At 50.9% G+C, this 14,740-nt stretch overlaps 2 annotated features.

Moving 5' to 3' along the window:
• Positions 157–206: an enhancer, noted in NCBI's record as "active region_18086". NCBI's record gives its function as "activates an Ori minimal core promoter by ATAC-STARR-seq in GM12878 lymphoblastoid cells {active_cell/tissue: GM12878}" and the evidence as "EXISTENCE:reporter gene assay evidence [ECO:0000049][PMID:35858748]".
• Positions 11,348–11,547: an enhancer, noted in NCBI's record as "active region_18085". NCBI's record gives its function as "activates an Ori minimal core promoter by ATAC-STARR-seq in GM12878 lymphoblastoid cells {active_cell/tissue: GM12878}" and the evidence as "EXISTENCE:reporter gene assay evidence [ECO:0000049][PMID:35858748]".

Here is a 14,740-nt window from a genome sequence, read left to right as displayed (position 1 = left end):
TTACAGTGTGACCCACTGCACCTGGCAGTCCTGTGCCTTCTGTGACATCACATGGTCTGTGAGGTCCCTGGGTCTTTCTCACATCCTCACACTGCGGTGGGCAGCCCGAGATGCAGGTCTCTTTCTTAAAGAATTGTGTTTGAGCAAAAAAGCCCACAGAAGTCACCATCTTTCCACCTCAGGATCTCATACAGTTCTGATAATTATAGGTACAGGGAAGTCTCAATTTCAAATGTTCAAGTCCTAAATGGATTGATTGTGTTCACTGGACTACAAGTTCCAGGGGGGAGGGGACCTTACCTGTTTGTTCACTCCCATGTCCCTCGTAAGAAGAACCTTCCAGGCACAAGGTATCTACTATGGAAACATGTGTCTGATGAATGGATGGAGCTGGTGATACATTTATTTATTTTTATTTTTATTTTTTTGAGACGGAGTTTCACTCTTCTTGCCCAGGCTGGAGTGCAATGGTGTGATCTCAGCTCACCGCAACCTCCATCTCCTGGGTACAAGTGATTCTCCTGCTTCAGCCTCTGGAGTAACTGGGATTACAGGTGTCTGCCACCACGCCTGGCTAATTTTTTTTTTTTTTTTTTGTATTTTTAGTAGAGACGGGGTTTCACCATGTTGGCCAGGCTGGTCTCGAATTCCTGACCTCAGGTGATCCGCCCACCTTGGCCTCCCAAGCTGGTGATACATTTAAAAATAGAGTTTCCAATCTTTTTTTTTCATAACTTTTTTTCAAAACTTTTTTTTCAGCAAAGGTGTTTTGCTAAATGTCTAACCAAACATGCTTGAATGTATCCACCCTATTGCTTAGCTTCAGATCACGACTCCTTCTTCCCTTATAAGCAAGTTACTCACCTTCTCTGGGACTCAGTCTCCTCATCTAGGAAATGGGGACAAGCATGTACCTACCTGAAAGTCAGTGCAGGTACCTGTAAAGCTCTCAGGACACTGTAGGAATTAGTGGCTATATTCATTATTATTATTATTATTTGTTTTCATCTGAGAGCCAGGCCAGGGGTTTGGGGGACAAAGGTGAATCAGGTTGCTAGCTCTGGGTGACTCAGATTCTCGCCTGCATCATGGAGAGTTCACAAGAAGGGTCATGGTGTCCCCTGAGAAATGACAAGGAACCAACTGGTCTATGAACGTGAGGGGAAGTGACTGAATGGTGGTTAGCCTGAGCTGGAAAATGCACACTCGGTTGAGTTGCTCAATCCATCCGGTGACAGCAAGGCCCTCGGGTACACTGGGGGAGCCAGGTACATGCTCAGGGCCCAGTGTAGAGGGGCTGGGCCTGAATGGCAGAGGGGATCCCCGCAGCCTAGAGCTGGAGGCTCCCAACCCCTGGAGACATGGGGGCCTTTGGAAGGAGGAGGCATGAATGCTGCCTCGGCTGTTTTTGGCTTAACGCTGAGGTGTCCCTCAGCCTCCCACCTGCCCAGAGAAGAAAGTCATGTTTTTTAAAAGATGGAGATCCGGCCGGGTGTGGTGGCTCACGCCTGTAATCCCAGCACTTTGGGAGGCTGAGGCCGGTGGATCATTTGAGGTCAGGAGTTTGAGACCAGCCTGTCCAACACGGTGAAACCTCGTCTCCACTAAAAATACAAAAATTAGCTGGGTGTGGTGGCAGACGCCTGTAGTCCCAGCTACTCAGGAGGCTGAGACATGAGAATTGCTTGAACCCGGGAGGCAGAGGTTGCAGTGAGCCGAGATCGTGCCATTGCACTCTAGCCTGGGCAACAAGAGCGAAACTCCGTCTCAAAAAAAAAAAAAGATGGAGATCCTGGGATTACCCCCAGACATCGGGAGCTTCTCGGGGGCTCAAGCTTCTGGCAGTTTCTTTACTTGCTTTGGTTGAATTCTTCATTTCCACCCAGGTCTCACCCCTCCAGGCTGCCAGTCTCTTTCTGCACAGGCCACACATATGGGGCCTGCTTGAACCCGGGAGGTAGAGGTTGCAGTGAGCCAAGATCGCGCCATTGCACTCCAGCCTGGGCAACAAGAGCGAAACTGTCTCAAAAAAAAAAAAAAAAAAAAAAAAAAAAAAACCACAGAACATTATTCAGCCTTCAAAAAGAAGAAAACCTGGATTATACAAAGTGAAATAAACCTCTATCTCGAAGAGCAAGGAAACCTTTCCCAGAAGCCTCTAACAAATTTCTCAACACATCTCATTGGCTAAAATCACATTCCATGTCCAGCCTAAATCAATCACTGGCCTTGTTGGGGTGGGGGACACTGTGGCTGACTTAGAGCAACGGGAATCAGTCCCCTGAGGCTTGGCTGAGGCCCATCTTCCTGGAGCCCATGGGAGGGGTGGGGGCAGGGATTTCTTGTGCAAAATGAGCAAAATAGGTTCTGTTAGGAAGGAGGAAGTGGGGGGATGGCTGAAACGGGAATAGCTCATTGCCGCTATCAGCATATCTGCTTCTTGCTGTCGGGACCTACTGAACTGCCTCCGTTTCTGGGTTGTTTTGAACTGACTCTTCCGCTTTCTCATAAATTCTGTAAGCTCACTCATGTTCCTCTAATAAATTTCCTTCCCACTTAAGTCAGCCAAATCTGGATCTCACTGAGGCCCCAAATTTCCTCAGTGATCATCTTTAGCATCATCGTCACCGAACCATCTTTGCTGATATTTATTGAGCACTTGCTATGTGCCAGGTCCTGTGAGACACACTTTGCTTACAGCAGATATTCTCAACCAGGGGGTGATTTTGCCCTGCAAGGAATGTTTGGCAACGTCTGGAGATATGTGTGGCTGTCACAACTCAGGGAAGGAGGTGCTACTGGCATCTAGCGGGTAGTGAGGCCAGGGACACTGCTAAACAAGTCCTGCAATGCATGGGACAGCCCCCAACCAGGAGTTATTTGGCACTAAATGTCAGTAGAACACAGACTGGGCAACTCGCTCCTAACCAAACCTGGCGTATTTCACAGAGAAGCAGCCAGTCCAGAATGCCCGAGGGCCCAGGTTGAGAAAGCTTGCCTTGCACTGTCAAGCAGTGAATGGCCGAGAAGCATCTGCTGTGTGCCTGTCCATGCTGAACAGTAGTGGGGCTGAGGGCCCAGCCTTAGCCCCTGGGAACTCGAGCCCATTTTAGTCCTTTAGGTTATTCCACTTGCTCTTTTCCTTATTCCAAAAGGAGCTTGAGGCAACCAGAACCAGCGATCATTGCTCATATTGCCCATGAGTGAGAAAAGAAACTAGCTCTGTGGAGGAAGAGACGCCTCCCCCAGCTTTGGATATTCAAAGGGGTTCCTCATGAGAGAATTTCGCATGGGGTCATGGCAGTGCGGACAGTAAGGTGATGAGATGTATATTCAGAAGGCTCAGCTATTTGTCAGGATTTCTTGTAGCTGCAGGCAATGGAAACCCAACCCAAGGTGGGTTTTAAAAAGGGAGAATGAGAGAGCCATGTCTGCTTCAGATACAGCTGGATCCAGGAGCACCGCTGACGATTTTCGTCTGGGGGCTGTCTGCGCCTCTTGGCTCTGCTTTGCCCCATGTCACTGGCATTCTCAGGCGGTCTCTGTTTCTCAGGGTGGCACAGTGCCTCAGCTGCTCCAGGCTGACATCCTACAACGAGCTCAGCCACCTCAAGGCGGCAACGTCTTTCCCATTCCAAAGTCGCCGGTTTAATTTCTTGGCCCTGATTGGATCGTGTGCTTACCCCTGAACCAATCCATGTGGCCAGGGGCCTGACTGGCCAGGCCTGCAGCCCTGAGGATGGATGGGGTCAACTCTCCTAATTCACAAGACCAAGGGGGTGGAGGCACCACAGGGGAAACTCAACGTGGTCTCCAGAAGAAGGGACACATGTGCTGGGTGGCCCCAGACCCGCGCAAATACAGCATCCTCACCAGCTCAGCCAGCGAATCTAACAAGGACCTACTTTGAGCCTGGCGCCAAGCCCAGAAATGAATCTGGCAACTTCCTGCCCTCTGGGAGGAAAAGAAGATATAAATAAGTGCAATTCAAAGCACTGTGTGATGTGTCCTGAAAGAAAGAAACAAACAAAAGGCTACAGACACGAGAGGTTGGCTGAGAAAGGGCACTGGGCTGGCAGGAATGGCTTGAGCAAGGGTAAGGAGGTGGGAGGGGCCAGGTGTGTTCGAAAAACTAGGGGTCATCCTCGTGGCTGGCGACGTGGGGAACGAAGCTGCAGAGGGCAGTTGGGGTAGATGGAGCAGGACCAGGCTCACCCAGCCGGGCCGTTTGGACTTTCTCCAGGTCGCAGCGGGGAGCCATTGATGGTTTTAGAGCAGAGCAGAAGCAAGATCTGGAGTTGCACTTTCTGAAGATGAACTCAGCCGTTGTGGAAGGGGAAGGGCTGGGACAGGGAGAGACTGAAAGGGACAATTGAGCAGCTGTCACAACTGTCCCAGGACAGATACTGGACATCAGAACCAGGGCAAAGGTAGGGCAGAGGTCTTTTCATTGTCTCCGAGGGCTGGGCACATAGTAGGTGCTCAATAAATGTGGGGTGGAGAGAGGAATGGGAGAAGAGGCCTGAACCTTGGCAGCTGCAGGAGGGGAGGGCCGATACCAAGTTTATCCAGTTACGCTGAGCAAAGCCCCCACACCACAGTGGGTCCTCAAGGAAGCCATGGCTACCCTGGTCAGCCCCCAACCTGCTTCTCCTGTGCAGCTGCTGACAACTGCAGCATGTCCCAGCCAGGGATGGGAGTCTGGAAGAAAAGCAGGAAGGAAGTGAGAGGACAGAGCAGGTTGTTCTCCGCCTGGGCCTGGATTCCCCCTGCAGCTCCTGACCCTTCTCAGGAAACCAGGATGCCAGGTGCCAATGGGACACCAGAAGCAATGACCATGCAGCAGAGGACTGGACATGATGACCTTGGGAGGTCAGCACACCACCCACTGATCTCTGAGGCCGAGGCCCCTCCTTTCATTCTTTCTTAGAAATATTTATGCTCAGGAAGCTGCTTCCTTGACAAACCCGCTGGGCTTCCTAAATATTCACCAACGACTCGTTGTACCATTGGCAGGACATTTTTGCCAGAGCTGCCAACTGTATTTACCGACAGAGGGACTGGGAAGATCTGGGGCAGTGGGGTGGTCAGGGGGAATATATATATAGGGGAATATACAGAGGAGAGTCCTGAGAGAGCAGAGACCATCGAAGCCTCTGGATCAGCTGTGGTCAGGTGGGGAAACCGGGTCACTGATCCCTCATAAGGCTTGAAACCAGCAGCTCATAGCACCTGCCAGAGTCTCCCTATTTTCAGAGACCAATATAAAAGATGTCTGGCCCAGAGTGGGCTGAGCAGGTCCTGAAGGCAAGAAGGATGTGCAGAAAAGGAGATGGGACACCCATTCCTAATCAGGATTGACTGGGCTGTCCTGCTTCCAAGTGCCTACTCCCAACTTAATGACAACAGCAGACACCTCCATTCCACCCACTACGTGCCAGGCTGTGTTCCCATATGTCACATGTATTACCTGGTTCTTGCAACAAAATAGTCCTGAGCACCAACTATGTGCAGGACCCTGTTCTAGACACTACTCATGAACAAAAAACCCAAAATGCCGTGGAACGGACACTCCAGTGTCATCGGAAGTAAATACAAGATGTAGTATGCTAGAAGGTGATGAGTGTTTTGGAGAAAAATAAAGCAGGGATAGGAGATGCGGCTGTCACAGGTGGGATCTAGTGGCACAGCACTTTGGAGGTAATGATGAACAAGCACTCCCATTTGGCCAATGAGGTCACTGGGGTGCAGAGAGGCTAAGTGATTTGCCCAAGGTCACACAGCTACAGAGGCAGGATTCGAACCCAAGTCATCTGGCTCCAGAGTCCTGGTTCCTGACCTGACGAGGACTCCAGGTTCTCTGACTTTAGCACAGGCGTCACCAGAGCCTCAAGATGCAGAGCGACTTGCAGAGGAGCAGGCAGCCAAGATGGAGGAGGTGGAGGGTTGGCTTTAGCATTGGGCCAGCTCCCAGGCTGCAGGCCTTGGGAGGCATTTCTCCTCCCTGGGCCTCAGTTTCCACCTCTGCAAAATGGGGAAGTTGCAACCCCTGCCATGGAGTGGGGGTTCCTTGAGGTGGCGCTGTGGAACTGCTTCCTAACACTGGCCACAGCGACTCCCAACACCTCTCAGGCTTGCCCTACAACCCATTTTTCACCTGCAGCCAAAGGCGTTGCCATGAAACAGACCATGTCATGGTCCCATCCAGATCCTCTGATGGCTGCCCCTCACTTTGGACTCTGGCCTGCAGGTGGCCCCTGGTGTCCTCTCACCTCCACTCACTTCACTGCGGCCACCCAGCCTCCTGGCTGCTCTTGCAGATCTGCCAACTCCATCCTGCCCCCCAGCTTGGGCACCCACCATTCCCTCTGCCTGAAGCCCCCTCCCTCACCTATCAGCCACGAATGGAACTCAGCCCGCACTCTGAAACAGAGGCTTTCTTGCCCCCTTGGGATCAAGATGCTCCACAGACAGACCCCGAGGGAGATGGAGACACAAGCAGAGGGACAGGCTGAGACATACATGGGCACGCAAACCAAAGGTGCTCAGAGCCACACGTGGTCCAGAGGTACAGAGAGACACACGGTGCCAGACGTAAAGTCACAGCCACAGCCACGCCCAGGGAGACACATGGAAGCCCCAAGCCACAAGACTATTCAGACACACTGGCCATGGGTGTGCAAGACGTGCATGGGCACACTCAGATAGACACACATGCCCTCACCCCACACACACGTGCACAGGCACACCCAGGGAGCCGCAGCCAGCACCAACGTGGCCCAGAACACCCAGCCACACACATGCACACACACACTTCCCTCTGGCGCCCGGAACAGCCCCGTGCCAAGCGTCCTAGGACAAGGACCGCCTGCAGCCAGCCTTGGCGGGAAGGTGTCCTGGCAAACAATACCTCCCCTCTCCCACCGTCGGCACAGACACAAGGAGCCATTGTCAGCCTGGCACACACCGCGGGGCGGCCTCTCCACAGGCCCTCCTGGCGGGCATGCCTGCACGTGGGGGCGGAAGGCTGGCGGCTCCCCAGGCCCACCTGCTCCCATCTGCCCACCAGGGACCCTGCCTCCTTCAGAGCCTCCTGCCTGGTCCTGCAGACCCTGGAGGGCTTAGCTCCCTGGCCCACTTTCCCTCCCCAACCCCTTGGGACTTACGCATCCTCCTCACAGAGCGGCCAGGGCTTACGAGGGGCAGGGTTTGGTGGCTGAAAACGTGAAATCTAGATTCAAACACACATGCCGTGTGACCTTGGGCAAGTCACTTCCTGTCTCTGAGACTTGGTTTCCTCATCTGTAACATGGGATAATGCTAGCACCTCCCTCACAGGGCCGGTGGCATAACGATTTGAGCCACAGCATACACAACACTGAGGCAGCAGGTGCACCCTGGGATCTGGTAGGCCCAGGCTCCGGCGACAGCCTTGCCATTCTCTTGCTAGGCCTCGGGCAGTTGACATCACCTCTCTTCCCCTCAGTCTTCTCACCTTGAAAGTGGGGATGGTCGTTGGCCCCCCTTTCAGAGGTGTTCCTTCTGTAAGACTCTCACATGGAGGGTTTAGGATGAGCCTGCCACACAGTAGGCACTCAATCAATGCTGGCCATGATCATTGTCTTAATGGCCTGAGGCTTGCTTATTCACTTATTCTTTCTTTTCATTCCTTTCACCAGTCTTTCCTGCGTACCTACCACATGTTGTAAGCTGAGCAGTTCACCCTAAGTTGCTCCCTCCCCCTATGCCCCAATGGGCTCCTGTTAGATGTTTGTTGACTGACTGAATGACAGGAGGCAATTCAGAGACCATCACTACCTCCAGGCAGCACAAGGACACTGACTGAGTGGTCAGGAGCCCTGGGTCAGCCTCTTAACGGCTTGCGATGCCCGGTCAGGAACACAGATCCCTGCTCCACAGCAAGGACGTCATGAAGATTAGGCAGGGTGGAAAAAAGAAAGTGCCACTCAGTGAACACCTACAATGCCAGGGCCACCCTGCCAGCAGTGCCACAATCTTTTCAGGACCTGCCCCTGTGCAGACGGCACCTGTTTGAGCAGCCACACCCCTCTGCATCCCTCTCACCATGCTCCGGCTCATTTAATCCGAAAGTGCTCATCAGCTGCTGGCTTCACGGTTTGAGTTCATTGGCTTGTCCTATTTGGTGTCTGTGCCCCCGGACCAGGGTCCCTCGACCTTGGCTTGACTGACATTTGGGGCCAGATCATTCTGCACCTGAAGGCTGCCCTGGGCTTTGTAGGATTGGTTCAGCAGCCTCCTTGGCCTCTCCCCACTAGATGCTGATAGCACCCTCCCTCCACCCAGCTGTGACAACCACACACATCTCCAGACATAACCAAGTGTCCCATGGGGAACAAAACCACCTCTAGCTGAGAACCAGAGGGCAGAGATTTTGATTTGTTTGGTTTCTTGCTGTATGTCCCTGTGTATACAGTAAGTATCAATACATATTTGTCGAGTGAATCTTGAACAGATGCATCTCACCGACTCACGCTGTTCCCCTTTGCTGGAACGCTTTTCCACTGCCCTTTTCTGGCGCACTCCTACTCATACTTCAAGACCCTGGCAAGGAAATGATATGAGGAAAGTGGGGCATGCAGGGACTGGGTGAACAGGAAAGTACCTACTATGTGCCACTAAGAAAGGGCCTCCCGCAACCCCACTCCCAGGCCTCCTGTGTCCAGTAGGAATGTGGGCCCAGTATGGCCACATCTTCCCATTTTTCAAGAGAAGCCAGAGAAAAGGACTTTATGTGAAATCTCCTGGCATGTCAGATGTTGGCAATTGATTCACATTAAAAAAAAATACTTTAAGGACCAAACTAAACATATCTCCAGAGTGGACCTGTCCCATGGGCAGCTGTCATGGAGGTCTGCTCTAGGAGGCTTGATGGGTACGAACACCTTTGAGGATAACGAAGCTGAAGCAGTTCTTCCTGGCGTCTCACTTGCGTGCCCTCTGTTGTAGCCATTGTGGGAGGGGTTCTCATACAGCTGGGGCAGCTCTGATGGGGGACAGAAGGGCAGAGGTAGCGCCCCCAGCTCTGAGCCGCACCCACAGGCAACACCCAGCCCACCCCAGACCAGCTCCTTGCCCAGCTCAGCCCAGAGTCCAGGGTGGATGGAGTGTGGGGAGGACTCATCATGGGGGCTGTGAGAAGCCTGTTTATGGCTCCAAAATTCCTATGCCCCAGGCCTAGGGGAAATTAGTGCTCGTATGAGGCTGTTCACCTCCAAACTCCTTGGCCTCTCCAAGAAATTAAAAACAGGGAAACCGAGGCAGGACTGAGCTTCATGGAGACCTGGGCCTGCAGGCCTGGGCAGGCTTGGAGGCAGCCAGGAGGCTGACTTCTCTGGAAAGTCCCTTGTATTCGAGAACTGGCGGGGTGCCGGGGAGCGAGGACACCAGGGGTCTCCTAGTCTCAGAGCCTTCTGCCGGATCCAGGAGCTCCTCAAGCGTCTGCCCTTTCTGGGACAGAACTTTCCAGCAACAGAAAGTTGAGGAAGCCCCTCTCTGGAAACCCTGAGCCTCCTTGATGGGGCTTGCATTCTGCTTTGGGGCAGAATGTGGGACTGTGGGACAGGAGGACGGGGCGTGAACCCCAGTCCTAAGCCCAGATGTCGGCTGGAGATCCTCAAAGCCAGGGCCTCTTCTCAAGAGTCTGATGGCCCCACCAGCCATTTCTCTCACCCAGACCCCAAGTCAGACTGGACACTGTCACCATTGTCCTGGAGGCCAAGAGACCCGCAGACCAGAATTCAAAGCCTTGCCCCGCTGCGGGCTGAGACAGTCGCTTGGGCTCTGTGGTCTCATTCCTGCATCTGTAAAATGCATCCTTCCATTGTAGGAATTCAACAAGCACATGACATGGGGCTGGTGCTGGGCAGAGGAGAGAAGAAGTGACAGTGAGCACGCACCCTGGGCTGGTGCTGAACCCGCCACACACGTCCTTCTTCCCTTCTCACCACAAAACCCTGCATCTGTTCATTCAATGCTGGATGAGTGCCCCCTATGTGCCAGGCTCTGAGATTTAATGGAGGACAGTGGAGAACTGGCCTCTGCCTGCTGGGAGCTTACAGTCTGGCCAATGGGGAGTTATGAACCCCCTAAATTATTGTGTCAAGTAGTGGTCAGTGTTATGGGAAAACATTCACGCAGGGTGAAGAGGTAAGGCCAGGGGAGCAATTTGGAAGGGCCGGGGGTCAGAGCAGGACCCCCGGGGTCATTTAAGCAGACACCCAGATCAGGAGAGGGAAGAAGCCCTGTGGCTATCTGGAGGAAGGATGCTGAAGGCAGCGGAAACAGTGTGTGCAAAAGCCCCGAGGTAGGCGTGTGCTTAGCATGTTGGAGGAACAAAGAGGAGCCCAGTGTGGCAGGGGTAGAGGGAACCAGAGAGAGTGAGTAAGAGGAGATGGGCCAGGCGCGGTGACTCACACCTGTAATCCCAAGCACTTTGGAAGGCCAAGGTGGGCAGATCACTTGAGCTCAGGAGTTCGAGACCAGCCTGGGCAACATGGCAAAACCCCATCTCTACTACAAAAAATACAAAAATTAGCTGGCCGTGGAGGCATGTGTCTGTAGTCCTACCTATCTGGGAGGCTGAGGTGAGAGGATGACTTGAGCCCAGGAGGTTGAGGCTGTAGTGAGATGTGTTGGCACCACTGCACTCCAGCCTGGGTGACAAAGTGAGACCCTGTCTTAAAAAAAAAAAAAAAAAAAGAGACAGAGAGAGAGAGATGAGGTTATAAGGGAAGCATGGGAAAGATCTTGTAGGGCCTGGTAGGCCACAGAGATCTTTGACTTTCTGCCAAGTGAGGTGGGAGCCGTGGGAGGGTTTTGAGCACAGGAAGGTCATGTCCTGACCTCCTATACTCATCCTCATCTTAAAGGTGAGGAAACTGAGTCTCAGAGAGGTGAAGTTACCCACCCAAGGTCACACAGCCAGCAAGTGGCAGAGCTGGAGTTTGCCCCCACATCCCTGTGGCTCCCAAAGCCAGCCTCTTCCCATCCCATCAGCTGCCTCTGTGTCTGGCGTGAGTCAGGAGGCTGGATTGCTGGGAGGGGGAGAGCTTTTTAGAGCTGCTTTTTGGAGCCTCCTGGCTCTGCCTGGCACATCCCCTCCTTCCCCACCCATGCCTTCTCCCTTGCCCTCAGCCACCCCCAGCTGCCTGCGGTGAGTGCCTAACATTTAAGGCTATCCCCTCCCAAGTGCAGATTGGATTTTTTTCTTTCCATAAGTCCCCATTATGCCCCAGTAGACTGGATTTTGGGCAATAGAAAAAACGAGCCTAAAGAACTCCAGCGCTAATTGGGGGTGACAGGCAGGGGCTCGGGGCCTCTGGAGCAGCCTGGCTCTGTCTCTAATTTGCAGAGTGGCCAGGGTAAGTCCCTGGCTTCCAAAGTCATGCTTGTTTGAAGGACAATCACTTTCTTTTTCTTGTAAAAGGAAGATAAATTGTCAGCCTGTCGGTTTCATTATGAGCTCGTCCGCTGTCTTTCCAGTAACTGAGGGCGAGAGGCTGAGCCGCTGCCCAGAGGCTGCCTGTGAGGCCTTGGGGGCTGTGGTTGATGCCACCTGGCCTCCTTCGCATCACCTCCCTCTCAACACCCCTCCCACCCCCTCCAATAATTGTGGTATTTGGTTTTCCCTCAACACCAAATGTGAAACTCTCCTGGAGGGAGTGCAAAAGGAAGTCTGTGAATCTCTGAACTGTGGTTGAATGAAGGTATTCTTAGGCGCCTGCTTGCAAGGATGGTGAACTTCTGGTGCTAAAAGCAGAATTGCTTTTCAGTAAATGTTATTACTCAAAAGGAAGTTGTTACCACCACAGCCACCTCGAGCCTCTTCCAACTGCCACTCTGTCTGCCAGGCCAAGTGGGGAAAGGGTCTCTCAGTGGCTCCCAATGACCCCATCCAGCCCCCAGGGGAAGGTCTTGCTATCTCAGCTGACCCTGGAGGCCTGAAGCTGAAGTGCAAACAACCACAGTCTGCCTAGGCAGAGTATCTCAAGGTAGGGGCTGTTTGCTGACTCAGCATTTAAAAGTCCCAAAGCTTGAGTGATCTTGGCTGAGCTGGGCTGGAGCTACAGGTGGGGTTGGGGGCACACAAGAAAGCTGCCCGTTGGCTGCAAGGTTGGCTGTTTTTTGAGAGCTGTTGTCCATCTTGGCAATGCACCTTGCCTAACCCCTATTTCCTCTTCTCTAAAATGGAAAGGTGATCATACCTCAATGGAAAGAGCTAGCATATTGATTACTCTAGTAGATACTTAATAAGTGGTGAGGTTATTATCAACAGTGAAAATGATTCTGGATTTAAATCAGACAGACCAGGGCTCAGATCTCAGCTCTGCCACCTACTAGTTGCACAACCTTGGACAAGTCCATTCCCCTCACCAAGTCTCGGTTTTCTCTGGATCACGCAGGAGTGATTATAGCACCTACTGCTCAAAGTTGTTGGGAGAATTCCGTGAGCTGCAGCACGTAAGTCACAAGGCACACAATAGGTATGCAGTAGGCATGGGTTCCACTCCTGCTCCATTTTGCCTTACAGAGGATCACCCCCCAGGCTGTGTCCCCACCTGAGCAGTCCCAACCACAGGCTCCAGGTGGAGAGACACCCATGAAAGTTTGCACCCACCGGGGTCCAGAGGGCAGACAAGAAGCGACCAGGCCAAACTCAGGGGAGTGGAATGGACCACTCAGCAGACACTTCCCTGCAAGAAAGAAGTCAAAACAAACCCCCTGGCTGGTGAGACATGATCCCAATCTAGAGCTCTCAGAGGATGCTCTCGGGTCCAATCCTCTGCCTGCCTCTACCTGTAGCCTTTTCTACAGCCCGGAAAAGTGGCAATTTCATTTACTGGGCAGCCACTGCAAGTGAGCATTGTGCTCTGCATGTCTCATGAATCACGTCATCGTGTCCCCCCAGCAACCCCACGAGACAGTTCCTCTCATTGCTCAGCACCTGCAGGTGTGGAAACTGAGGCCCAAGGAGGTGAAGGGACTGGTAGCTGAGATTTGAACCCAGCCCATCCCATTGTCAAGTCACACACATAATCACCGCACTACTTCCGTTATCTGAGAACAGTGTGTCTGTGTTACCAAAGATATAATTATATTTAGTAGTGTCTGGGTATAGAAAATTGTATAATATATTCTTTTTAAAATGTATTCTTTTGAGATTATTATAGATTTACATGCAGTTGTAAGAAATAAACAGAGAGAGTCCATATACCCTTTCCAGTTTCCCCCAATGTTAACAGTCACAATAAAGATATTGACAGTGATATAGTCAAGATACAGACATTTCTATCACCACGAGGATCCCTCATTGCCCTTGTATAACCAAACCCATCTCCCACCCCCAACCCTGCCCCCGAGCCATGGCAACCACTAATCTGTTCTCCATTTCTATAATTGTGTGGTTTCAAGAATGTTACATAAATGGAATCATATAGTTTATGTAACCTTTGAGGACTGGTTTTTTTCACTCAGCATAATTCTCTGAAGATTTATTCAAATTGTGTGTTATCAATATTTTATTCCTTTGTATTGCAAGTAGCAGTCCATAGTATGGATATAACACAGCTTTTTTTAGTTAAAAAAAACCATAGACAGGCTTCCGGGTGGTTTACCAGTTTTTGCCTATTATGAAGAGAGCTGCTATGAAGATTTGAGCATAAGTTTTTGCACAAACATAAGTTTTCATTTTTATGTCCAGGATTGCAACTGCCAAGTCATAAGGCAGTTTTTAAAAAACTGTTTTCCAGAATACGGTACCGTTTTACATTCCCATCAGGAATGTATGAGTGTTCTAGTGTCTCCATTCCTCACCAGTGATTGAATGCGAAAGTTCCCATCGTTTTTTATTTTGGTCATTCTGATAGGTGTGTAGCAATATCCGATTGTGGCCTTAATTTGCATTTCCCTAATGGCTAATGATGTTGAACATTTTTTCATGTGTTTATTTCCATCTGCATGTTCTTTTCAGTGAAATATTTGTTTGTGTCTTTTGCTCATTTTCTATTTGGATTTTTTTAACTGCTGACTTTTGAGAGTTCTCGAGAATTCCGTCAAGTTTTAAGAATTCTAGGTACTAGTTCTTTGTCAGATATGCAGTTTGCAAATATATTCTCCTAATCTGTAGCTTGTCTTTTCCTCCTCTTAATTGGGCCTCTCATGGGTTAAAAGTTTTCAACTTTGATGAGGTCCGATTTATCAATTTTTTTCCTTTTATGAATTGTGCTTTTGGTTTTCACATCTAGTAATTCTTTGCCTAGCCTTAGATTCTGAAGACTGATTTTCTCCTGCTTTTTTCTAAATGTTTTATAGCTTTATGTTTTATCTTTAAGTCTATGATCCATTTTGAGTGAAGTTTTGTATAACGTGTGAGGTTTAGGTCAATGTGCTTTGTTTCTTGCGTGTGGATGTCAAATTGCCCCAGCACGATCTGTTGAAAAGGCTTTTTATCTTCCATTGAACTGCTTTTGCATCTTTGTCAAAAATCTTTTGGGCACATTTGTGCGTGTCTATTCTTGGGTTCTCTACTCTGTTCCACTGTTGCATGCATCTGTCCCTCTGCCAACCAGACTGTCTTGATTACCACAGCTGAACAGTAAACCTTAGCATTGCATCAAATGAGCCCTCCCACCTATAGAAAATTGTATATTGTATTTTAATTCATTGAGAAGTGAGGTGGCAAATCTCTGTCCTTCAACTT

The sequence above is a fragment of the Homo sapiens genome, chromosome 20 (genome assembly GCF_000001405.40).
Source record: "Homo sapiens chromosome 20, GRCh38.p14 Primary Assembly".
In the NCBI taxonomy this organism is placed as follows: domain Eukaryota; kingdom Metazoa; phylum Chordata; class Mammalia; order Primates; family Hominidae; genus Homo; species Homo sapiens.
The sequence above is the reverse complement of the archived record's forward strand: the minus strand, read 5'-3'. Positions and strand labels throughout refer to the sequence as shown.